Source organism: Homo sapiens, chromosome 1, assembly GCF_000001405.40.
Source record: "Homo sapiens chromosome 1, GRCh38.p14 Primary Assembly".
NCBI lineage: Eukaryota > Metazoa > Chordata > Mammalia > Primates > Hominidae > Homo > Homo sapiens.
In genome coordinates, this window is record NC_000001.11 from 170,214,327 (window position 1) to 170,242,250 (window position 27,924).

Sequence of the window (27,924 nt, forward strand, 5' to 3'; positions counted from 1 at the left end):
TGCGAGTCCACACTGCAGTCAGCGTTCTGCACCGCACAGCAGCAGCGGGAGCACCTCCTTCCTGGTCTTTCCGATAGGCAGATACCAATGTGTAGGATGTGGAGGAATGTAGTGTCCTCAGAGCCAGTTTTTATGAGTTGGGACAAGCATTTTTCCCTCCTTTTATGTTTGTAGGACTTGTATGGCCACAGCAACTACTCTCATGAAGGTTTTTAAGGAAGTGAGAAAAGCACAGTGATAGCCTCCATATCAGACAGAGATTCTAGGGTGGTTTTGTCTTAGCAGAAAAAAAGACAGGGGAGGGATGGAAACAATAGAGACATATACTTACACAAGATGAAGAACTAGAGAGAAAAAAATGAACCAAGGAGACAAGAGAAAGGAAGGTGGAAAGGGGAAACGTGGGTGGCAGGAAGAAAATTTTTCTTGATTCAGATATACACCCCAAAGCGTGCACACACACACACACACACTTTCTCACACACTCTCACACACACACACAGTCTCTCTGTCACACACACACACACACATGCCTCCTCAGCAGAGTGGAACTCTTGGACTTCTCTGCCTCCTGGTGAGTTTCTTTTAGCCCACACATTCATCTGTGCCTTACACACAGTAGGTGCTCCATAAATGTTTGCCTAGTGGTAACATCCACAGATTGGTCCCCAGAGAGGGAAACAGATTTATTTTGGAAAATTCCAAGTATGTAAAGCAAAGTCCTTTGGAGCAAACAGTATTCCTATAGCCTGAACCACCATAAGGTTGAAAGAATCTGGGTATTTGTGGGTGTGTCTGGACATATTGTGTGTGGGAGTGTGAGTGGGTGGTCTGGATGGGTGGGTAATAAGTGACAGGAGGGCCCTTGAAAATATAAAGGGCTCCATAACTACTGTAAAAATAAAACTGGGAATAGCATGCCCAGACCTCCAGTCATGCGGTGACCAAACCTGACCTTGGCAGAGATGAATAAATTTTGGAGATGGATTCAAAAATTATTAGCCAATGTTTTTGGTCCCTGTGGGCTTTTATTGTTTCTTTTTTAAAGAACAGCTGGGCGGGTTTTTGGCAAGGCAAATGACTGCCACAGCCTGTAGAATTCCAGAGCCCTTCCAAGCTTTTTCTAGATTCTTTTGTATTAATGCTTTTTTATTTCTGGTTCATTATTTTCCTAATGGGATATGTCTTCTGGCTCACCCCTTGGACAAAGGATATGCTTTCTCACTGTCTCTGCTCTTAATTTCTTCCTTTATGGAAATTTTGTCTTGAGGACATAATTATGATCAGAAATACATTAGAAGTGTATTGTTTTTCCTAATTGTGTCATCCCATTCCTGATATCAGCATCTCTTAAGCATCACTGACTAGTAAAGAGATGAAGTTATTAAAACAAGCCACGTCATGGATTGACGATCCTTCTCCCAATTCCTCTGGCCTGGAGAAACAGAAAAGAAGATTCAAGGCAGAAGACAGTTAAAACCATGTTCACATCAGGCTTCTAAATAGGTTGCAGTATATGATTTTCTTTTCTTTTCTTTTCTTTTTTTTTGAGATGGAGTCTCGCTCTGTTGCCCAGGCTGGAGTGCAGTGGCGCGATCTTGGCTCACTGCAAGCTCCGCCTCCCGGGTTCAAGCAATCCTCCTGCCTCAGCCTCCCGAGTAGCTGGGACTACAGGCGCCCGCCACCACGCCCAGCTGATTTTTTTTTTTTTTTTTTTTTTTTTTGTATTTTTAGTGGAGACGGTGTTTCACCGTGTTAGCCAGGATGGTCTCGATCTCCTGACCTCGTGATCTGCCCGCCTCAGCCTCCCAAAGTGCTGGGATTACAGGCGTGAGCTACCGCGCCCGGCCGCAGTATATGATTTTCTGCAGCTGTCCCAGTGCGCAAACGCATGCTCATTGGAATGTTCATTGTAATGGTAAAGGGAGGCAGGGCAAAAGGAAGAATTGATGGGATACAGAGGGAAATCCTATACTATCCATACCACAACTGCTGATACCTGGCAAGTCTGAGTTGGTATATGTATGTCTTCATACATATATCTACTAATATACCATAGCAAGCTCTGTGATATGTAATTTAGATTTTTTTTTTAATTAGAGAAATAGCAGTTCATGAGGTTGGTAACATATCTTTAAACGTTGTGGTTATTTGGGGGTATTAGGTGGTAAGTCTTAGAAATAAACTTTCTTAGATGTTGGAGATTACATGCTACAGGTTTAGACATTAAGGAGTGTCATAAAACTAAAATTTTCTCTAAAAGTACATTGATAACAACCTTCATACTATATCCCTATTTCCTTTATACATCTTTTGAGGTTTACCTAACCATTCCCCAACTAATCAGCCTAATTCTTGATTCCATACAGTCACCTCCTTCTTGTAATTGCTGTGTACATTTGTGTGTATTTGTGTTGATTTTGTATGTTTTATTTCTTTCCCATTAGACCATAATCTCATTGGGGATAGGAATCAGTACATTTTTTTTTTTTGACCCAGGGTCTCACTCTATTACTCTGGGCTAGAGTGCAGCATCGGGATCTCAGCTCACTGCAGCCTTGCCCTCTGGGGCTCCGGCAGGAATCAGTAATCTTTATTCTGTATCCCCAAGTGCCTGGGATTATTTTGTAAATCCTATGCATAGTCAATAAATGAAGAACATATTCTACTCTCAGAGGAGCAATTTAATGCTAGGTTGGCTTGTTTTACTAACTTCCATCTCTTTTCTAGTCAGTGATGCTCAACAAATGCTGATATCAGCGATGGGATGACACAATTAAGAAAAAAATACACTTTTAAAATTATATAATTCTCTTCCAAGTCAAGAGTAAATTGCCTATTAATTTTCCATGGCTTTGTAGGTAGCAAAATGGCATTTAGACTGCAGGTATACATTTCTGATTATAAGCAATTATCCATCTTTTAATCAAATATAAACTATCTAGTTAGTAAAGATTTTAAAGTCAGTTTCTCTTGAGGTGTTCTTGTTAATTCCTCTTGGAACATTCTATTGGACCGCCCACTATCATCATCTCCTAAATTTTAAGCCTGGTCCCATAGTCCAAAGGACCACACATGGACAATCAACTGAATATATTTGACCTATTTCTGAACAAGGTTCTATGTACTCCGACACCATTAACCAAAACGACTGACTCTAAGTTCTAGTCCTTATAAAATGCAAAATCGCTGCCCTAGCTCGTTACTTCAGTCCTCTCCTCAAAATCTTTTGCTGGATTGCAGACTGATTCATGCTTCAGCTCCTTTTCTCCCACTGTAATATTTGGCTATGTGGGTCCTAGACACACTGCAAAATGCATTCTACAGCTTTCCTCCTCTTCTCTCTGGAGATCCAGCATGTCTCCCTTGGCATATCACCAAACTGCTTCTGTGTGCTGTTCTCTCTCTCTGCATTACTACCATCCATCCTGAGCTTAGTTCTCTTAAGAGACTCCCTTTATTCAGCTGTCTTTGTGGAAAGAACTACTGAATGAATTTAGAATGAATTGCCAATTAATTGGTAATGATATATTTTGGAAATATGTGCTCCTCATTCTATCTCTTGGAATATAAGATCTTCATCCCAGTGCTTCAAATTCATTCATCTATCTGTTAGCCTGGGAGAAAACTATAATTTGTTTTATAAGGAATTCAACCAGATAGATAGGAATTAGTCAGATTCTAACATACAAGATAGATTTTGAACAAAACAATAGGCTTGAGAGGCAGCCAGGCATTGTTGAGAAAGTTTGTTCCAAATAAATTATTTGCTCCTTTGGTATATGAACAACTTAGCTTGAAGTGCTCGTTCTCTGAGAACACCCCTCTAGCATAGAGAAGATGACTCTTCTGCTACAATCCCCAGGCGAGCTCCATGGCCGCAGAGGGTAGTAAAAGAAAAGCCCGCCCCTCTTTTGGCTCTAGGGATTGTGAGATAAAGCGGGTGGGAGAGTAAATCAGTGAAGCAATCGAACATCTCTCTCCCCATTTACTATAAGGTAAATAGTAAGCTCCAAGAAGCCGGTTAGGACTTGGGAGGTGGCCAGCTTACAGGCTGCCCTAAACTAACCTGGGTCACAGTCAAATCAACCAGAGAATGTAGTGAGCTCAGGCAGAAGAAACTCTGAGGTCATCCTTTCCTGAGGCATGCTTGGTTCCCTTGTGCACAGACAAATTCCAGAAAGAACTGGAAATCTGGTTAGGAAACTTGGCAAAGTGGGTGTCACTGTATTGGGGAGGGTGAAACAATTCTGTAGCAGGAGTTGCAAGGCAGAACCCTCGAACTAGGGCCTAATGATAGTCACAGCCAAACCTCATAAGGGTCTCTAACACCAATAGGAGCTGAGGTGAGGCAGAGCCAGCCAAGGGTCACTGCTGAGCCCTGCCAAGCCCAAGCTAAGACCTACTAGATGGAAAGTTAAACTGACCACAGACCTCAGCTGTTGTATGCCAGTGAGGCAGGCAGCACCTGTATTGACAAAGATGGTACCCCAGAGACACAGGGAGGGGGACGTTGCTCCTGAGAACCCTGACTCTTCCTTTATGGACTTTGAGGTCCCACCAGTCATACTCCTCTTCCTTGTTCATTCATGTATCACTGCCTTTAACCCAAGGCTGAAAGGCTTTCAAAGAAATTAGAATTTTTTTAACAAAAAATATGTTAAATACTTCTTAAAATAGACTGTTTATATTATGGATCAAACTGAATTCCTAAGTTTAACTATATTTTTGGTAATTTTTTCTCACCTACCTTTTGAGAAACCAGATTGTTTACTGATAAAATAGTAAACCTTACATTTTTTGGTCTTCTCATTTGCTCTTCTCATTTAGTGACTCATGCCACATAATGACTGGCAGTAGCTGAATAGTTAGCCTTTCCTAGCCTATGAATATTTTAATAGGTCATTCTGAGGGGTCCAACTTTGTATACTGAAGGACTTAATTTTAAGGTTTAGAAAAGTTGTTGGCAAACTATAGCCCACCGGCCAAATCCAGCCTACCGTCTGTTTTTGTAAATAAAGTTTTATTGGAACACAGTCATGATCATTTGTTTACATATTGTCTCTGGCTGCTTCAGGGTTATCATGACAGAGTTGAGTAGTTGTGTTAGAGACCATATGGCTTGCAAAGCTGAAAGTGTTTATTATCTGGCTTTTTATAGGATGTTTGTCAACCCCTGACGTAGAATAATGCATGGTTTTATTGAGCATCTTGTCCAGTGCCCTTTCTGAACAGATGAGGCCGCTGAGGCCTAAGAATTTAAGGTACACATCCAAGATCACACAAAATGTAAGGGGAGAGATCAGGATAACAAACGGTGGAGTTTTAAACATGGTGAAAAGCAAGTGGGGGAAATCTGTACAGAGTTGAGGTCTTTTGAACAGTCTCATCTTAAATAATGCTCCTGAGATTGCATGATTAATATGAAAAAGCATACTAACAAACCCAAGAGGAAAATAAAAATAATAAATGAAAATCCCCTTCAACCTGTGAAATCACCTGGATTTTATGACAGTGGAAAAGACTCAGTTCAATTAGTGGCTCTGTGCCCCCAATACCCATAAAACCTGCATTTTGGGACATTCATATGTTCTTGTTATATATTAGATAAATGAGTCCCCAAAGAGGCTCTAGTGTATCAAGTTACTCAGTTTAGAGATTTGGGAAAGAACCTAAAAAATTGATTACCAGACTCCAAAAGGAGACTGCAACAACTAGGGGCTGGGGGTTGTCTATAACACTGATCTTTTCTAAAAGGCTGTCAGAGAAACAAGGGCTACATGATTTAGTGCCACCTCCCAGGCTCTTGGAGAAACACTGAGGAACAGAACACAGACTGGTTGCCACGTTGCTATCTCTGTCTTTCATTCCACTGAAGAGTCCTCTCTACCTGCTTTCATTTTACTTCCTAACCTCATGTTCACTTTTTACCCCCTGTAGTTAGGAGGTGGCCCTGCCACTCCATTGAAATAGGGAGGGTTTTTCAGCCCTCACCTCATTTGACCCCTCTGAGATAGCTGACATTTTTGCCCACGCCCTTTTGAATAATGTTCTTTCCTCCCTTGGCGTCTCTAATGCCGTGTTCATGTGATTCTCCTGACTTGTTGCCACTCACCAGCCTCATCTTTCATCTGTCCTCCATTCTCAGAGGTGGGCTATTCCTCAGGGTTATGATTTCTATCTTATTTCCATCTCATATATTCATCTAGGAAATTTATTTATGCTCAGAGCTTTAACTACTAGCTAACTGGGGTTGTCTCCCAAATCTGTTTTCAGTCCACGTGTCTCTTCTGAACGATAGCATTTATTTCCATGTGTCCACAGAACACCTGTAGTCAATGTGCTACGAGTATCTCAAACTCATAAAGTCCAAAGTTGAAACTATAATCTTTCCCCTACACCTGATACCTTCTCTGGTATTCTAAATTTACTAACCATCTACTCAGCTCTCTCCAGTGACTCCCTGGATCTATAAAGAATGAAGTTTCTAAATTCCACAAAGCCTTCCATGACCTGACTCAGGCTAGCCTTCTTGTATACTTGGTCTCCATTCTGCAGACCCTTGCTTTCCTCATTACCTTATTTCTGTCCCTTTATTCTCCTTGGAATCACTTCCCTGTTGTTAGTTCAATAAGCATCTATTCAACTTCCAAGATTCAGTTCAAGCACTGCTTTCTCTGTAATCACCCCACAAGATACCGGGCACTAGAACAGGAAGGCCAGAATCCTTACTTCCTCACCTTTGCACTTTGAAGAGCTCTGGAATTCATCATCCTGACAGAGCAACTATGTGGCAGCAACCTGCTCCTTTTGGGCAAGGCTCTAGCTGACTGCACAGTTTGTTGTGGAATTTTCCAGTTCTCCCACCCATCTGGGATTATCTTACTAGCCTTGCTTTAATAACTGCGGGCCAAGTGAGTGGTAATTCTTGGAGTAATTTTGACAGAGTGTTGTCAGTGAACATTCTTCTGGAGAAAACAACGCAATAACTGGAATGGGGACAGCCTGGTTAGGAGCAGAGTATAGCACATTATTCAGCACTTAGTACATTACAAAGAGGTAGCATAGTGGGGTTAAAGAGCATGGAGTCTGGAGTCAGAAGGCCTGAGTTTGAATTATGGCTCAGCTACTTACTAGCTTTGTGACTCTGGACAAGTTTGTTAGCCTCTTAGTGCCTCAGTTTCTTCATCTGTAAAACAGAGATGGTGATAATAGTACCCCCCCCCCGATAGGATTGTGGTGAAGGGTGTGTGTGTGTGTGTGTGTGAATATGTATATGTATATATGTGCACACTCATATGTTTCTTGGAATAATGCATACTATTTAATGTGTTACCTCTTACTATTTTTAGCTTGTTAGGTGACGAAGGGGAAAACCAAATTCAGTAGCCTTGAGAAAGATCATTTTCAAACAGAGGGTTGAGTAGTCTCCCTCTTTCACACCAGTAAAAACAACCAAACTCTCAACTCTCCAATTAAACTGCACACTGAATATCAAGCCTATATACCTTGTGTTTGTTTAGTCCTTTATACTAGGCAAATAACTTTCATTTACTGGTATATTGGGTTGCAGTAAAAGCAAGAAAAGAATAAACAGACTTTTGAACATACAATTCTTTTTTTTATGTGCCAATACTTTGATGAATATCTCCTTAAATAGTTTGAAAAGCAATTATAGGAACTTCAAACACTAGGGAGTTTCGAACACTATTAACATGAACCACTGTGGACCTCAGTATACATGATCTCTATGGCATTTGCTCCTCACAACCACCAAATCCCAAGAGATAGCATATACAGGTTTATTGCCCTCATTTTCAGTACAGGAAAACAATAAAAAATTAACATACAAGTTCTATTTTCTGACTCCCTGTCTGATGTGCATTCCATTGTTCTTTTAAAAAATTTTAACTTTGTTTTACCTGTATAATATTTTTTTAAAAAGTCGGGCTGTGCTGAATCAATTCGTACCCTAGAGAGTCTATCTAGAGGCCCTCAGTGCCCTTCTGATAACTTTTTCCAGATTTCAGAAATTTTTATCATAATTTTTATATCTTCACTGTTACTGATGGTGACCAAGAACCCTAGTGGTGCAAAAGAAACTAAGGAGAGCTAGGGGATAACAAGAAGTAGAAAATAGTGCAACAAAGAAAACAGATGTATTATCTATTTGCCTGTTGCTGCTTAGCCAATGCTTTGTTGTATGGCGTTACTACGTCTGTGTATCTACTTCTCTCTATTTCTAGCACCACCAACTACTCTGTTCCATGCTACCATGATGTCTTGCCTGAATTGCCATGATATCTTCCCAACTGATCTCCCTAAGACCACTCTGACACACTTATAATATATTCTCCAATTTGTTGCCAGATTTACCTTTTCAAAATACAAATCTGAGCATGCCCCTCTTCTTTATTTAAATCCCTTCAGTGGATTTCTTTTGGTCTTGGATAAAAGCAAAATTCCTCAATGAGGGCTATAAGACACTGCATCATCTGGCCCCACCTGCTTATGGTAGAGATTGCAAGCTGTTCAGTAATGCCTATTCCTCTTGTTCCTGTGACAGATAGTTTACAGTTTCCAGATTCCCTTATTGTTAGTACCTAGCCCATAAATACCTTCAGTGTGCATTACTCATGATCTTGCCAGGTGACTTCAATGGCAATACTCATGATGAAAGCCGCATCTTGAAGATAAAGAGTAGTATCAGCATGAATCTCTGAAGTGGATCCCCAAGGATCTTTCATTACCATCCTTGACCTGTGGTTTCTTGGAAGGTTATGTGCGAAAGAAATGCATACTTATTATAAGCTATTATGGGGTCTATTTGTTGCTGCAGGCAAGTCTACCATAATTAATATGTCGTATCTTCTGTCTCATCTATCCACAATACTGCCCATGCCTCATTTCTCCACATCAGCTGAATAAATCTTTCAGTTCCTCATCCTTGCCATGCTCCTTTATCCCAGGGGATCTTTGCATATGCTATTAACCCTCCCATTAATACTTTCTGGTTAAATCCTTCTCATCGTTCAGGTCTCAGCTCAGGTATAACCACTTCCTGGAAGCCCTCTCTGAACTCAAGTCCCACTATTAGGCTCATCTCTTCATGTACTTTTCCATAGATCTTGTGATGGTTGTGACTATGCATTTGTGTTTGTGCTTATTTAATTATCTTATGCTCCTTCACTAGAGTGTAAATCCATGAGGGCAAGGATGGTGTTTGTTTGGCTTATTTAGCATCTATATAGTGCCTTGACATAGAGACAATCAGTAATATTTGTTGAATGAGTGAGTAAGATTGTGGATTTTTATCATTGAGAAAAAAATTTTAAAATACTTTAAAGTAAAATTTATAGCTGTAAGTTGTGATGCAAAAATATTTTTTCCCAACATATAATATTATTTGGATACTTTGTGTTTAAAGGCTTTTAGTAATTGCTGACATGTCCTAAGATCATAATTTCAGGAAAACAAAGAGATTTGATGTGACAGCTCTTGAAGTGGCAGCGCTTTAGCCAGCTGCAATGGTTTATCTTACTTGGCCTCAGCATTTTACTTTCCCTGATAGTTGATAACCAAATGCAATTTATGAACAATATATTTCTTCCTGAAGAAACTTCTTGTTTGGGAAAAAATACTAGGTATATTAGTCCATTTTCATGCTGCTGATAAAGACATACCCAAGATTGGGTAATTTATAAAGAAAAGAGGTTTAATGGACTCACAGTTCCACGTGGCTGGAGAGGCCTCACAATCATGGTGGAAGGCAAAAGTCACATCTTACATGGTGGCAGGCAAGAGAAAATGAGAGCCAAGAAAAAGGGGAAACCCCTTATAAAACCATCAGATCTTGTGAGACTTATTCACTACCACGAGAACAGTATGGGGGAAACCGTCCCCATGATTCAGTTATCTCCCATCAGGTTCCTTCCACAACACGTGGGAATTATGGGGGATATTATTCAAAATGAGACTTGGGTGGGGACACAGCCAAACCATGTCACTAAAGAAAGAAATATACAAAGAATAAGTTATATTCTGCCTGTAGTTTAGTGTAGTGAGGGTAGAAAGAGGATGGGCTTTGGATGAAATAGATCTGGGATCTTGGTCTCTAGTTAGGGTTGTAAGATATGTAACTCTATCCCTTGCGACCCTTCAGACATGCTTATTCTAAAGAAATATTTATTGTTTGAAATACATATTTAACTAGTTATCTTGTATTTTTATTTGCTAAATCTGGCAACCCTATTTCTAGTTCTCCACTTACCAGAGGTTGGATAGGAATTTTACCTTGAGAGGATTAAGCGGGATACACTATTTGAAATGCTTAGCATAGTGTCAGACACTATGTGCTGACACTTAGTGTTCCAAAAATATTTATTCTTTTTTAGATTCCACATGTAAGTGAGCTCATGTAGTATTTGTTTTTCTGTGTCTGGCTTATTTCACTTAGCATAATGTCCTCCAGGTTCATCCATGTTGTCACAAAAAAGTCAAACTCAAAGAAATAGAGAGTAGAATGGTGGTTACCGGAGGCTGGTGGGGATGGGAGGGGTGATGGAGAAAGGGGAGATGTTGGTCAAAGGGTATAAAGTTTGAGTTAGACAGAAGGAATAAGTTTTAGTAACCTATTGTACAGCATGATGACTACAGGTTGCATATTTCAAAACTGCAAAAAGAGTAGATTTTAAATGTTCTTACCACACAAAAATGATAAGTACATGAGGTAATGGATATGCTAAATAGGTAGATTTAGTCATTCTACAATGCATGTATATATGAAAACATCACATTGCACCTCATATTTATATAGTTATTTGTCAACTAAAAATGAAATGAAATAAAAACATTTCAAATGAAAGAATAAAAGGCAGAATTAACAATATTTAAAAATTTTATGCTTATTACTAATATATGTAAAAAATGAAAGTTACTTTTGTTACAATAATGGATCCCATTATTTGTAAACATCGGAGCTACCATTGTGTGCCATATTCTATACCATGTGTTGTTCTAAGAAGCCGTTTACATGTATTATTTTATTCATTTTTTTTCAATGATCCCATAAAACAGATATGACATTATCTCCACCATGCAGATGAGACACAGAGAGTTTGGGTCACGGCCGACATCACACTGCTTACGGTGGTGCAGCCTCAGATCCCACTGTCAGACTCCGGAGTCTGCTTCTTCACCACCAAGCCATAATTTCTGCCTGTGACAAGCAAGGCCGGGTCCATTATGGATGAGCATCCTTTCATATTTGACAGGACCACTTCCCCTTAGCCCCTTTGTAACCCCGGGGCATTGGTGATGCTGTCCACCTGGTAAATCAACCATCCCTTTTGCACCCAGAGCTGATTTTATAGAAATCTAAATACACTTCACTAGGTTTACATGTTAACACTAAAAGAAAAAGAATGTTCTCTGTTTGCCTTTTAGTTGAGGCAACATTTTGGTTTTATAGGCTTGTTTTAGTAAGTAATTATTCTGGTAATGCCAAGGCCTCCTTTATTGAGTCATAAATGCATCCTGGACAACTCAAAATAACAAGCAGGCCTTTTCCTTTGGGCCTAGCAGGCACACACTGTTTAGCTAGATGTGAGTTGGCTTGCCTGCCTCTGCAGGTTTCTCTTTCTCTCTGGAAAGCTCCTATGAAACCATGTGAAGGGGGGAAAGAGGATCAGATAATTGGGATCTTTAAGATGGTTATTATGAAAAATGTTCTGGAACCAATTCAAATACCAATCAGAAACCACATTGTTCTACTAAATCACTTTCAGATGCCATATAAGACACAAAATACAATTATTTCCAGTTTAAAAATATAATGTTCCTTTAAAAAAAAAACACAACATTTTATTTTATTATTTAAAAAAAAAATCTACCTTGGCTGGATTTCAGGCCCATCACAGATGATGTACAGACAGACTTTGTGCCTTTCCCTTTGGATTCGGAGCCTGTAGACCTCACTGTAATGTATTTAAAAGTTCCTTAAAATGGATGTGACAGCTGTTTTCTTTGTGTATTACAGAAATATACAGAGTTCAGAGGCTCCATGGCTACACTTTGGGCATGTATGTCATTACAGGAATGAAAAAAAGATGATGGCCAAATGCTGTATTAAAATCCCATTAGAAATGCCGGGAGAAATTTATGGCCCCAATCTCTTTTATCTGACAGGTATCAGTTTGGTGAAAGTTTTCTTTCTTGCCCTTTTCTCTCCCTCCCTTCCTCCCTCCCTCCCTCCCTGCCTTCCTTCTCTCCTTCCCTCCTTCCCTCCCTTCCTCTCTCCTTCTTTCCATTTCTTCTTCCTTTCCTCCTTCTTTTATTACCTTCCAATTCCCTACTTGACCACAGAATATCTGAGTGTTGTCTTTACCACTGAAAAGGCAATATTTTCAGATTTCTGTCAATATTTGCTTCTCCTCCTTGTTTTATACGTTAGACACCTTGAGGTCCCTTTCCCAGATATTTTCTCCAGCTGAGGATTCATTGAGTCCATGATAGTTTGTCTGAGCCATCATTACTGTGATGAGGAGTAAGGAGTTAACACACCATGTGACCTCAGGAATAATTTCTGTTACAGCAGTTCCCATGTGATCCATCAGGCTCTGAACATGAATTTTAATGGGCTCAGAACCACTTCTCTACCCTGAGGTCACAGGCTGTCAGAGTGAATCTTCCACAAACTGATTGGAACCTGAAGAATTTGCTCTGTCAAGAGAGGTATGGATTTTTGCCTTCAGACCTCTAGGACATGCTGTCACCCTCTGTGGAACAAGAGGGAAATACCAAACCATTACTTTGTTAAGTATAGAGTTACTTATGGATTAACATGGGACACCTCAGCTCACAAAGTTGCTACAAGATCTGACAATAGGAGCAATAGGAGCCTGGAGGTCTCATTCTGGTCTGGCTTTGCCACTTACAAGCCATGTGGTCATGGACAAGTTGCTTTATCTGTAGGTTCAGTTCATTTAATGGTAAAAGGAGGACTGGCTTTGAAAATCTCTGATTTTGTGGAACTAACCCAATGGGGGCAGATAGGAAGATGAAATATTGCGGTGAGATAGTGTCACCAAGGATACACAACAGGTTTTTTCCCCAAATGTTAGTAGGGAAAAAAGAATAAATAACTCTATACTTCAGGGAACTCAGAGTCACTGATAACACCTCTGTTCACTTATCTAACATTTTGTTCATCTCTATTTACCAGCCTAAAAGCCATTTAAGGCCAAGGATGGGCCACTCACCTCTGTATCCTCACCTTTATGCCTGTTTGTCATGTGTAGGAAAAAAGGCATAAACCTTAGGTGGTATGGAGAATGAGGAAAGGGGAGGAGAAGGAGAAATCCAAAAGATAGGTGGAAAACCATGGGAGCAAATCAAGGCAGGAAATCAGAGAAATCAAAGCCAGAGAGCATCTCAGGAAGAGCTGATGGCTACCAGCACTGAATACCACAGGTAGGCAAAAACATGCTGCAGAAAGGCTGAGCAAAAGGCCCTGCAGCTGGGGAATATCAGTGGTCAGGCTATGGAGACTAGAATAGTTCCTCTGTTGTTACTTCACCTTGCAACTTAAAAAAATATATACAGGCTGGGCACAGTGGCTCACACCTGTAATCCCAACACTTTGGGAGGCTGAAGCAGGAAGACTGTTTGGGCCCAGGAGCTTGAGACCAGCCTAGACAACATGGTGAAACCCTGTCTCTACAAGAAATACAAAAAAATTAGCTGGGGGTGCTGGAGCATGCCTGTATTCCCAGCTATTAGGGGGGCTGAGGTGGTAGAATCACCGGAGTCTGGTGGGTTGAGGCCGTAGTGAGCCGTGATCACACCACTGCACGGCAGCCTGGGAGACAGAGTGAGACCCTGTTTCAAAAAACTTAATCTACGTATATATACAGAAATGGGCTTTTATGTTTTCATTTTTATAAATTGGGAAATTTTATACATATATTTCTCTATATCTTGCTTTTTTACTTTTCAAATGCTGTGAAATTCCTCCAGGTCATTTGGGAGAGATCTAAACTCTCTAACTCAATATTTTTTAAAGCAATATTTGACAAAATTTGTATATATTCAAGATGTATAACATGATAGTGTGTTATACATAAACATTGTGTAATGATTACCACAATCAAATTAAAGAGCACATCCATCATCACCCATAGTTACCATTTGTATGTGTGTGTGTGTGTGTGTGTGTGTGTGTGTGGTGTGCATAATAAGGACACTTAAAATCTGATCTTTTATCTAATTTCAAATAAATAATCAAAAAGTAAAAGCATTATTATCTCTAGAAAACAGGAAGACAGCACTGTCACTTAAGGTTGAATAAACGAAATATTGAAGAAGTTAATTTCACCAAACATTACACAGTAATAGAAGATAAATGTCGTGAACTCAAAATATCTGAGAGAGGTCTCAGTCAAGTTAGAAAGTTTATTTTGCCAAGGTTAAGGATGCACCTGTGACACAATCTCAGGAGGTCCTGACAACATGTGCCCAGGATGATTGGGGTACAGCTTGCTTTTATACATTTTAGGGAGACGTGAGACATCAGTCAATATGTGTAAGATGTATATTGGTTCGGTTGGGTAAGGCAGGACAACTTGAGATGGGGACTTCCAGGTCATAAGTAGACAAGAGACAAAGGTAGCATTCTTTTGAGTCCTTGATCAGTCTTCCACTGAATACACAGCTGAGTCTGGCTCCATGAATCTGCATTTTTACATAAGCAATAGGGCAGAGGAAGTAATCAGATATGTATTTGTCTCAGGTGAGCCTCAGAAGGATGACTTTGATTTCTTTCTGACCTTTGTCCACAAGGAATTTCCTTGCTGACAAATTGTGAGGGAGATATGTAGCTTTTTATCTTTGTAGCTATCTTATTTAGAAATAAAATGGGAGGCAGGTTTGCCTGACATATTTCCTAGCTTGACTTTTCCCCTGGCTTAGTGACTTTGGGGTCTTGAGATTTATTTTCCTTTCACAGTGTCAAATCTATACTCCTGATGTGTCTTTTAGTTCCCACTCCCTTTAGACTATATTACACACTTCTTACTGATGTGACATGGGCTACTTAGTGAACAGGGGCAGAATGGTCCAGTAATTGGCTAAGAGTACGTCAAGATCCAGCAGATTGATGTACACAGCACCATAGGCTTACTTCCCACAACATCCTTGAATGAAATAAAAGGAAAAATCCAAACTACTTGGTAGTAAAGAATTGGAAAAAATAGCAGAAGATTAGAATAAGTAGTAAATGACAAATGGGAAAAATGAATACTTGATGAACATTATGTTCAAATGACTATCTCAGCAGAACATTCTTTATCTACAGAAAGGATTGGCTTAAGTAAAGCTATTATGATGGTATTAAATGCTAACTTCAAATTAGAGACCAACTCCAAAACAGAAAAAGAAAATGTTTTTAAGCAGTACCCTTTATATAATCTGGTATCGGTTTTGAGGAATAACAGAGTACATTCTGAGAAAAAAAAATTGGAAACACCTAAAGGGTAAGGAAATCATGAACCAGAAGTATGGATTTCTGCATTACAAATTGTATCAGATTCTTTTTTTGGATAATAGTTAATAACACTCGTGAGAAAAAAGTAGAGTAGATGTTATTTATTAGAGTTTTTATAGACTATCTGGTTTAGAAATTGCAAAATTATATTTTTAATTTATTTTGAGTGTTAGTTCCAATTGGCAGAGACTAAAATATGTTGCAAAGACTGCTTGTAGAAGAACCAAGAAAGGAAGAATTCAAGGTGTTAGAGTTTAAGAAGCAATATGTTTTACATCTCTTTCTTATAAACATTTTCATTGCTTCTCTGAAAGAAAAATAAATTGGAACATTAATGAAATTGGCATTTAAGTCCTTAGTTTGAGAATGTTAGTGAACACTAAAAAATTGGCAGAATTGAGAGATGAAATTATTTCTCTTCTTTCTCTGGATTTTAGGAGAGATCAGAAGGAGAAAAATTATTTATTCATTTATTCACTCAAACATTTCTTTCTCCATGGTCACATTGGTGCCATAATAAATGCAACACAAAGATGTAAAAAGAAAATAGCTATTCTTTATTATTTAAATTATCCTCATCTTAATTTTCTTATCTGTAAAATGGAGATTATAACCACTAATTCTGAGAGTTATTGTGAGCATTAAATGTGATGACCTATGTAAAACAGCACAATGCTTAGTGTACAGGAATGGTGTTAATAACAAACCTTATTGAGCACTTACTATGTGCTAGGTACTCTGTTAAATTTTTTGTATACATTTATTCATCTGATGCTCGTAACAACCTTATGGTGGATGGAATCATCTTAATCCCATTTTATGGTTGAAGAAACTGTTGTTTAGAGAGTTTAAGTAACTCGTCCAAGTTTGTAAGTAGTTTGGCTGAGGTTCAAACTTAGAGAGTTTGACTCCATTGCTTGTACCTGGGAGCTATTATGGTTATTACTTTAACTACTAGGCTAAGCTGAAATTGCAGCAATAGGAATTTAAATTCAGACATAACGTTCTTAACTATAGAGATTATGGGAAAAATGGAATGGAAGTTTTTAAAGTATGAAAATCCTGAGAGACTTTTAAGCACATCCCAGACATCAGTTGGGGTCCTACTATCCCTTGGAGACTTAGGTCAATTTGGTTTAAAATTTCAGTTTGGTACCAATACAAGTTTAGAGCTACTTCTACAATTTCTGTGAATTCTCAGTGGCGTCCTTCTTCAAGTTTTCTTTGTCTTAGATTCATCCTGCATCATCCAGACACAATTTCTACTTTCCCCAAGTATGTCATTAGTTTAGTGTTTTTACTGAAGATCTGAGAGGTTATGGGAGAAGTAACATCACACACAATATTGCTAACTTCCTGGCCTTATCTCCATTCTTCCTCATTTTACACAAGAGGAAATATGCTTGATAAACATGCTGATTTCAACCACCTTGTAACCGGGACCCCAGGCAGGATTCTTCCTATTGGCAGATAGGCTGATCATGCCACTGCAGGTGAGGAGACAAACCTCTTTTTCATCCATCTAGGTATTCTTCTTAAGCCTTGAATTTTCTTTCCATTAACAAAAGAAAAATAAAACCAGAATCATCAAAGCTAATGTAAGTCAATCCTCCAAGTAAAGTCCTCTTGAGAGGCCAAGAGGTCAAAACTAGAAACAGTAAGATTACATTAAAAGTTAGAAATGTTAGCCAGGCCTGGTAGCGAACCTGTAATCCCAGCTACTCTGGAGGCTGAGGCGGAGAATTGCTTGGACCCGGGAGGTGGAGGTTGCAGTGAGCCAAGATCGCGACACTGCACTCCAGCCTGGGCAACAAGAGGAAGACTCCATCTCAAAAAAAAAAAAAAAAAAAAAAGACAGAAATGTTTGTAAAGCATTCATTTGTATGGACCACAGTGAGGAGATTCTTTGCCACCTGATTTCCAGTTGGGTTGGGCCAAAGGGAAGCCCTGGCAGGAGATTGGAAAGAAGGAAGAGAACGGGGTCAGGTTGTTTATTTACTTCAGTCTCCTTTTTGGACACTAAGTGATCATTAACCTGAGGCCAGAAGGCCAGTCAGTCAACTCCAGGGAGAAAATTGGCAGAAGAGAGAACTTTGCAATGCTTTATGCTCCTGTGGATATATAAGCACATGTCAGTATAGCCAACTAAATATATAGCTTCCCTTAGTCTTGACACATGCAAAACTTTTTTTTTAATTCATGTTGAAAGGAATGTTAGAATGTTTCTTCTAACATTGTTAGAAGAATGTTAGAAACTAGTTTCTTCCTTACAAGGGAATTATCTTTATAATAGGCCCTCTTGCCTGCAGGCGATCTGTATGCAAGCAGATTGGTACAGAGAGATCTGTGTTCCAATTCAGGCTTGGTATCTACTAATTTAATGAAAGGAAGGTTTACAATAGTCAAATCATGTATTTACCAGTGCAATTCATCATTTAACATATAATTACTGAGTATATAGTTGTATCAGGCCCTGTGCTAGGCACTGAGAAAACAGCAGTGAACGACAAGCTCCCTACTTTCAGGGTGCTTACATTTCAGTGGCAACAAAAAAATCTGTAATATTCTAAGAGAAAAATAAGGCAGGGCAAGAGAACAAAGCATTATAGGGGAGGGGCTCCGAGATAAGGTGACATGTGAACAGAGATCTAAATAGAATAAGGGAGGGAGCCATGTGGAAATTTAGGGGAAGAGTGTCTTAGGCAGAGGGAACCGCCAGTTCAAAGGCTTTGAGACTGGAGTGTGCTTGGTGTGTTTCAGGAACAGAGCAGAAGCCAGAATGGTGGCTGGAGCTGACTGAGGCAGAAATGGGTAAAAGATGAGATCAGAGAAGTAACCTTTCCTTTCTAGCAAATTCACCTAATTTTCCTTTCTCTACTGGACTGTTGTGAAGTCTTAAAGTTTGAGGGCAGTGTTTATAAAAAGTGACTAATGGAATATTCCTCGTGTGAGAAGTCCTGATGGTTCTGACATGGGGTAGGGTTCACACCTTGTTTCCACATTTCTCTAGATTCCTTTCCCATCCTAGTAATAGGCCCAGCAAAAATTCATATTGTTCAAAAAGACTGAGAAATACTTTATTTTTAAGTCATAGCCTGATTTCTAATCAAGTGAATTTTTTTTGGCATGATTAGAAGTGAATTTCTTTAGCTCCAAATTAGTTTCCAGCCTTTATTTATTCCATTATGATTTATGTGGCCACGCATGCTTTCTGTAACCTTCCATTATTTCTTTGGATCCATGTTTTGGCCAGGGCAGTCAGTCCTACCCACCATAATATAAAGAACTCTTACAGATTTTTAAGGAAGTTTTTCACTTATAGAAAGTAATAAAAGTATTAATTTCCTTTTCAGATTATTTAAATGGCTCATAAAACAGCCTCATTTACTGAGCCTACATTTCCTTGTGTCCCAAATAACCAAGAGAGGGTGTATGGTCTAGGGCACTAAAGCATTTATGCACACTGGTGGTCTGAAAGGTTTAATGTCTCTTCCTGGAGTGATTAATTTAAAGCAGGGCAAGACTGGCTCAACATTATTATTTCATCTTAACTGCATCTGGAAATCCAGAGTGAGCCATTATTTAACTCTGTTGAAGAAAAAGAAATGCATGTTCATAATTCTTACCTATTATTAAAGCAATTCCTCCATTGTTCCTCATACCTAGGAGGCAAAGCTCATATCACCTTGAACAGGAGACAGGAAGTGGCAGAGTCATTTCTGTCTATTCATGAGGCAGGGACTTAGGGAGCAGAGTAATTGGAGTTTAGTTGAGGCATGAGGCTTCTATAATTTTATAAATTGAGCAAAAAGCTGATAATTTATTTCTAAAGAAAAAATAAATCCCAAGAATTAACAACTAAAAAAATTCGCCAATATTATAAACATCACAAAATGAAGAAAAATAGCATAATATTTTAAATTAATTAACTCTCTCACTTACCACTATGCATTCTTTTTACGTTTTTGACTGCATACTCTTTGATGAAACTTTCTTACTAATAAGATTCTGTAATATTTTATACAGAGAATATAAAGATATCTTAGTCTTTCCTTTAGCACAGTTGATTGAAATTTACTTTTTATTACTCATAGTTTAGATGACCAAAACTGTGGCTTACTATGGAGACTTATTTGCTGTTTTTCTCTACTGCTCCACGTTTGTGGTCTATCAAATAGGAATTTTGATAGTTCTAGTATTTCTTAGCAATGGTTTAGGTTCAGAAACACATGCTGAGAAAATGAGTTGTTGATTGTATGTATGGATAGAGAAAAACCTGGGATAGGAAAACCTGGGATAGTTCTTGATTGTATGTATGGATAGAGAAAAACCTGGGATAGGAAAACCTGGGATAGTTCTTGATTGTATGTATTGATAAAGCAAAACCTGGGTAGATTAGGGTACTGCGTTTTGGGGCATGCTGTACTTTCAGGAATCCTTCACTGTAGAGATTAATGTAGGTAAGCAGTACAGGGGAAAAAGTGCCCCTGACACACACACACACACACACACACACACACACACGTGCACACACAGCTGGGTCTGAGTCCTTTCCTTCCGTGAGTACCCTTTCAATGATATTCTGTATTTTTCCCCCTATTCAAGCCTGTCTGTGATGTATATTTTAACTTGATCTCATTTAGATAGGATGTTGGCACCCTGTGCTTATGTGTAGTATTTTGTTGGCTACTGGCACTTGGTTGAACATATGGCAAGTACAAGGTTAATCCACTCACTTGGAAATAGTAGCAACTCTTCTTGACATAACTGCATCCTATAGAGTCCATTTATATTTTGCTGCGATTTGAGAAATTTGGCTCTACTTATACCAGAAACAAAATAGGCCACTTCAAACTTTTTTTTCTTCAGCGAGAGCTTCCAATTAAAAGGAAGAAGGAAGAACAGGACATATTTTCTGTAAGAACAAAAAATGCCACATGGTGCTTACCCTACCTGGCTGATTTCTCTGTTAGGAATATAATCTTCACAAGGCAGAGAGTATTTTTCTTATCAGGTATCTTCTTTGTTGCTCTCATGCTCCTTAAGAGAATTTTTACAGACTTTTTTCTCCCTTCCACATTTTTAAGTTGACAACTAAAATATTTAACATAAGTTTATATAGTTTCAAAGGATATAATTTCCTGAACATTTAAATGGAAATTTTTAAAGTAAAACTGTCACCTCACTTTTAAATGAGCACTTTTTACAGGAATTTTATATCTGCTATCATCTATTTTAAAGGCATACAAATATCTTCTTTAAAAATTAGATATTTTTTCTGAATGGGCAAAAACTGGAAGCATTCCCTTTGAAAACTGGCTCAAGACAGGGATGCCCTGTCTCACCACTCCTATTCAACATACTGTTGGAAGTTCTGGCCAGGGCAATTAGGCAGGGGAAGGAAATAAAGGGTATTCAATTAGGAAAAGAGGAAGTCAAATTGTCCCTGTTTGCAGACGACATGATCGTATATCTAGAAAACCCCATTGTCTCAGCCCAAAATCTCCTTAAGCTGATAAGCAACTTCAGCAAAGTCTCAGGATACAAAATCAATGTACAAAAATCACAAGCATTCTTATACACCAATAACATACAAACAGAGAGCCAAATCATGAGTGAACTCCCATTCACAATTGCTTCAAAGAGAATAAAATACCTGGGAATCCACCTTACAAGGGACGTGAAGGACCTCTTCAAGGAGAACTACAAACCACTGCTCAATGAAATTAAAGAGGATACAAACAAATGGAAGAACATTCCATGCTCATGGGTAGGAAGAATCAATATCATGAAAATGGCCATACTGCCCAAGGTAATTTATAGATTCAATGCCATCCCCATCAAGCTACCAATGACTTTCTTCACAGAGTTGGAAAAAACTACTTTAAAGTTCATATGGAACAAAAAAAGAGCCCGCATCACCAAGTTAATCCTAAGCCAAAAGAACAAAGCTGGAGGCATCACACTACCTGACTTCAAACTATACTACAAGGCTACAGTAACCAAAACAGCATGATACTGGTACCAAAACAGAGATATAGATCAGTGGAACAGAACAGAGCCCTCAGAAATAATGCCGCATATCTACAACTATCTGATCTTTGACAAACCTGACAAAAACAAGCAATGGGGAAAGGATTCCCTATGTAATAAATGGTGCTGGGAAAACTGGCTAGCCATATGTAGAAAGCTGAAACTGGATCCCTTCCTTACACCTTATACAAAAATTAATTCAAGATGGATTAAAGACTTAAAGCTTAGACCTAAAACCATAAAAACCCTAGAAGAAAACCTAGGCATTACCATTCAGGACATAGGCATGGGCAAGGACTTCATGTCTAAAACACCAAAAGCAATGGCAACAAAAGCCAAAATTGACAAATGGGATCTAATTAAACTAAAGAGCTTCTGCACAGCAAAAGAAACTACCATCAGAGTGAACAGGCAACCCACAAAATGGGAGAAAATTTTCGCAACCTACTCATCTGAAAAAGGGCTAATATCCAGAATCTACAATGAACTCAAACAAATTTACAAGAAAAAAACAAACAACCCCATCAAAAAGTGGGCAAAGGACATGAACAGACACTTCTGAAAAGAAGACATTTATGCAGCCAAAAAACACATGAAAAAATGCTCACCATCACTGGCCATCAGAGAAATGCAAATCAAAACCACAATGAGATATCATCTCACACCAGTTAGAATGGCGATCATTAAAAAGTCAGGAAACAACAGGTGCTGGAGAGGATGTGGAGAAATAGGAACACTTTGACACTGTTGGTGGGACTCTAAATTAGTTCAACCATTGTGGAAGTCAGTGTGGCGATTCCTCAGGGATCTAGAACTAGAAATACCATTTGACCCAGCCATCCCATTACTGGGTATATACCCAAAGGACTATAAATCATGCTGCTATAAAGACACATGCACACGTATGTTTATTGCGGCATTATTCACAATAGCAAAGACTTGGAACCAACCCAAATGTCCAACAATGATAGACTGGATAAGAAAATGTGGCACATATACACCATGGAATACTATGCAGCCATAAAAAATGATGAGTTCATGTCCTTTGTAGGGACATGGATGAAACTGGAAATCATCATTCTCAGTAAACTATCGCAAGAACAAAAAACCAAACACCGCATATTCTCACTCATAGGCGGGAATTGAACAATGAGAACACATGGACACAGGAAGGGGAACATCACACTCTGGGGACTGTTGTGGGGTGGGGGAAGGGGGGAGGGATAGCATTGGGAGATATACCTAATGCTAGATGAGGAGTTAGTGGGTGCAGCGCACCAGCATATCACATGTATACACAGGTAACTAACCTGCACAATGTGCACATGTACCCTAAAACTTAAAGTATAATAATAAAAAAATTAGACATTTTTGTAATTCTTTTTTCTCTTTGATATTTTATTTCCATTCCACTTCCTCTTAGACTTTTACACCAATGCAATATAATTTTAAAAGTGAATATCTGTTATTGGTTACCCTTTTATATGCCTATACAACAAAAATTTTAAAATTTCCATTCTGTGTTTTTTTCACTACCTCCATAGTCAGAACTTTATGTCTAAATTTAGATTCCTTTTGCTACATTTTTAGCTCTGCCTACTAGTTGCAATAAAAATTTTCTATGGTCCTAGAGTTTGAAGACCTATAATTTTCTTCTGTATTATCATAACAGTTATTTTTCATATGGAAGTGATCAAAAATACACACAAATTATAATTTTTAAATATCAAAAATAATATTGTATTGGAGATGCTTTTCTTAGCATGATCGGTGGTCAGGTTTTATGGTGCTTTGATTAAATGAGGTGACACAAATATTTCAAATTATTCCTTTGTTTGACATCCCAGAGATTATTACATCGCAAGACAATGCATCGCTCCAGCAAGGATAACAAAGCGAATGGGAAGGAAAGGGTTATGAAGAGTTCATGGAAGGCACCTTAGGCAGACTACTTTTAGGAAAGAGTGGATGTGGAAGCTAAGTATCTGGAAATTGATTTCCTTAGAACAGTTTGTGTTTGCATGTCTTCTGAAAGGTTTTATGTACTCCCAAGAGTAAGTATACCTGTTTGAAGAAGCTGCTCAATATAGTTCTTAAAATAGTCTACAAACATGTTACCCCAGCATAGTAAGAAATAGGAGTACAGCCAGAAATGAGAGTGGGAATGATTAGAGAGACCTCTTTGAGGCCTTGGTCGTGGGCAGGAGCACAGTGGGCCGGGCTCTTTCTAGATGTGCTTTAATCATCAGGAATTCTGATACAATTATATTTTGACTATGATATATAAGCTTCATTTGATTACTGTTGCCAAATATTTTTTGCTCTTCACGAAGTAAACCTCTTTTTAAAACTTTTTAACTGGCAAATAATAATTGCATCTATTTAGGGAGTACATTGTGATGTTTTGATACATGATTACATTGTGGAATGATTTAATCAATCTACTTAAATTTAGTGAAAATAACTTAAGCTATTAATCTCAGCCTTGGTGGCTTCTCCTAATTTATGCTTACACAAGAGGCTATCTTCATTGTGAAATGTCACAGACTCTCACAAGCAAGAGAAGAAAATGTAGAGAAGCCCCTCAAATAAAATGCATTAGGTTAATTCATACCGACAAATGTGACACACTTAAAATTGTTCCTAACATCAGTTCATGATTTATTTCAAAAGTTCTTAATATTCAAAAATGCTCAATAATTTAAAGTATTTCAATGTATATAGCAAATAAACCCTGCTATTAAAACAAAAGAATCAGGTTCATTTCAGAAGAGTGAAAACTAGCAAGATCTTACTGTAAATCAACTGTTTGTTTTCAATTATTTGGCATGAGATCTTACATATTTTTAACCCATGTTTTAATTCTCGTAGATACCCTGTTGCAAAAGTTCTGAAACATTGTGAGAAAAAGTGTTTTTGTAGCACTTTGGCAATGGGAGCCTCACTTCACTCTGTTATGTAATGTCCCATCCAGTTTTTAGTTAAACCTGGAAACACCTTTGTCCTTAGGTGAAGCAGCAAGTCTTGCTTAAGCAAAGCTGGTGAAATCAGAGCCTGGTCCAAGGCTCAGAAGCGTTTGCGGGGAAAAGCAAACACTTTTTGTGGGAGAAGGAAACAAAGGAGAAGAGAGGAGGAGGAAGAAATTGAAAAAGAAGGGGAAGAGAAGAGGAAAAGAAAAAGAGACGTTGAGAGAAAGAAAAACAGAGAGCTGTGTGTGATTGGATGCCATGACTCCTCAGTCTTAGTGCTAATGCCGTTGTTACCTAACTCTATTTAGGGAACTTTCCAGAACAAAGCGAAGCTTTGTGGGCCTGGCTTTCAGAACTTATGCAACAATTGTTTTGGGAGCAGACTGAAAATTTTACAAGAGAACTGAGTTTTCAAGAGACTGACGGTGTGACCAAAAGATCAAAGGTTTGGTGCAGTGGGACTAAGTTTCAGGCAGCCTTTCAAATTGTGAAGACTTTCCTCCCTGTTATGGCAGTTAAGACATGTGAAAATGGTAGTTCGAGACACTTATAAGCAACTTTCTTCTTAGTTCACAATGTTCCATGAATGTCAGTGCCCTCCAAACTCACGAGAACAAAGCAGGCAACCAGGATGATTACTCCCAAATCATTGATAAAAGGAGAGAGAAGTACAGAGATACACAGTGATTTGTGTGGGTTGCCAAAAAGTTGCACGGTCAGTTTGACAACTGTTATTGCCTTCAGGTTGACAAATTGCAAAAGCAGCATTGCTGTGTATGGGTGGGGAGGGAGGAGGAATTGCATGAGTAAGAATGAGATGAGCAATAGTTAGGTGGGGTGGAAATGAAATCTCAACAGTTATTGGGGATTCTGATGTATTTATCAAACCAAAAGACGATCTAAAAGCCATACAATCAGACTTAGATTAGGGCAGTCTGTGATAAGCAAAAGTTAATATAGTGTGTTGTTTTTGAAAATATGGCATGATAATTAATAGCAACTCTTTTTGTATACTTGCTTGGTTAACAGGAGGAAACACAGATAAATTAAATACTGGTTAGCAATCTTTAATAACCAGGAGATGCTTAACATTTATTTAGAAATCTGCAACATTTTATAAATCATTGTTTTGGCTTCTGGGACAAACTCAGAATCTGGAACCCACGGAAACCCTTCAGTTACACAAAGGCTTTCCAGTTCATTGCTACTGCACTGAAGAACAGTCTTCACAACTATACCTGGAACTTACTAGGCCAAGAAGGCAAGGCGTTGGTATGTGTTTTTATTGTAGTTAAACTTATCTGGATTTAAAAGGCATTAACTATCTTCTGATTTCTTCCTTTTTCTTCAATTGTACAAGAGTGTTTCAATTGAATATTGCAACTGAAGACATTCACTCTGCGTTGATCACCTATGGAGTGATCAAATTTCAACCCTTTGAAGTTTCCTAAATGTAAGCCTTCTTCTTAAATATCCTTAAAGCAGCATTTTTAAGCCTGTAAAGATCCATGAGCCCAAGAATCCCTGCCTGAAGTGCTTTTGGCTTCAGTCATCCAGTTTCAGTCTTCCCATTGTTCAGTTACCCAGATAACAGTTAACCAGATCCTGGTTTTCTCTCATGCCTTGTGGCTAAAGTCATGTTTACCCCAATTGATAAAAATGAAAATGAAAATTATTTATGCAGAAATTCATTCTGGTACTACAACTCTCCTTTCCGTCACAATTTTAGAAGCTTAACCATGATATGCAAAGTGCATTCTGAGGATGACTAACTAGTCATAGTTGAAGGGTTTGGATAACAAAATAGCAGAATAGGACAGGGCCAGGTAATAGTCCTCATCTAAATTTGACTCCAAGGAGCACCAGCACTATTATCAACTCCCACTGCAGTTAAATTAAGATGCTTTTTCCAGAAGGAGTGAACATTCAGACGTAGTAAATTTACAGGGGCAGCTTCCAAAAGTGACGTGTTTCTCCTGGATTATTCCACTCAGAATTCTAGTTAGGAACAACACTGATTAACCCCAGAACACAGTTTCTTGGAGAATCTTCTATTAACCTGACTAGTTTCATGAACTTAGAGAAAACTTAGAGAAGCTTATAATTAATTATGGCCAATTATGCAAAGCTAAACCTCTGACAAGCTGTATCTATAAAAAGATATGAGACTGACTTTATTTTTTCTTTTCTGAAAGGAAAGAGGCACTCTGAATTCAAAGGCTGTTTGAATGAACTGACTGCTTCAGCACTGTCTTGTAGATATAGTCCATTCAAATAAAAGACAAATATCTGACTGAATTTTGTTAGCACGTTAAGACATGTATTATAAAAAGGTTTAAGAAGAAAATAATGGCCACAATTCTTCAGAAAACATGTGAACTAATGTGACAAAACACTGTGGTGTTGCAAACTCAAGGTAAAATGAAGTGAATGAGAAAACAAATTTCCCCACAGTTAAGTTGTATCACAATGTTTATTTATCTTTAATTCACCCATCTTTATCCCATTTCTACCAGTGCTGCTCTGGCCAAGTCACCTCGCTGAAATCTCCACTTCCACTTGTGCAACCTACCAAGCCACTCTCTACACAGCTGCCAGAGTGATTACAAAAACAACGCGGGATTATGCTACCCCTGCTTATCTAAAATTTGTCAAAATGCCCGTTACACTTTGAATAAAATACAGATTCCTCTCAGATCTCATTTCTTATCATGTCTTTCTCAATCATTATGTTCCAGCCTCACTGACCTTCTTTCTGTTCCTGTAAAATATTCCTGCCTCAAGGGCGCAGGCCTACGACCTGCAGTTCTCTTTTTCCCACATGTGACCAGGCTCTCTCTTAGCCATCAGGTCTCAAATAAGCTCTTTCCGTTCTGTCTAGGCATCTTATCAAAATCAACCTGTGTATTATTATTCATTTATCACATAATCTTGTTTTATTTTCCTCATAGCACTCTCACTTTCTGAAATTATCTTTGTTTATATGTTTAATGCCCTTCTTTTCCACTAGAATGGAAACTCAAAGATCAAGAAACTTATCTGGCCTTTTCACTGTTGAATTGCCAAAATTTTGAACAGTGCCTAACATACAGTAAAGGCTCAATAAATAAATAAATAAATGTTCAGCTCTCTTGGCTGTCTCTGCAGTGATCAAGAATATTTTGATGTCTCTCAAAAGAACTATATGCTTATAGTAGCCTCTGTAGTTCTTGGGTTTGAGTTGTGGAATTACGTGTAGGTGAAACAAAATTATAATGAAAACCTTCGTTTTTAAACCCTTTTGGGCAGAGTCTCATAGAATCTCATTTTATAGACAAGTAGGGTCAGGGATTTGGGAAATGGGGAATTAAATTAGTATTTTTGAATGCTTATGTTTTAGAC

At 38.5% G+C, this 27,924-nt stretch overlaps 1 long non-coding RNA gene across 1 annotated transcript in view; it reads left to right on the top strand.

The window, feature by feature from the left end:
* The window catches only part of LINC01681 (long intergenic non-protein coding RNA 1681), a 67,192-nt gene extending 39,948 nt beyond the window's left edge, over positions 1-27,244 (top strand). Inside the window, exons 2-5 of the long non-coding RNA NR_146891.1 lie at positions 12,593-12,732; positions 25,904-25,996; positions 26,739-26,959; positions 27,060-27,244. This is a non-coding gene — a long non-coding RNA (long intergenic non-protein coding RNA 1681). The remainder of the gene's footprint in view (positions 1-12,592; positions 12,733-25,903; positions 25,997-26,738; positions 26,960-27,059) is intronic.
* The last annotated feature ends 680 nt before the right edge of the window (positions 27,245-27,924 follow it).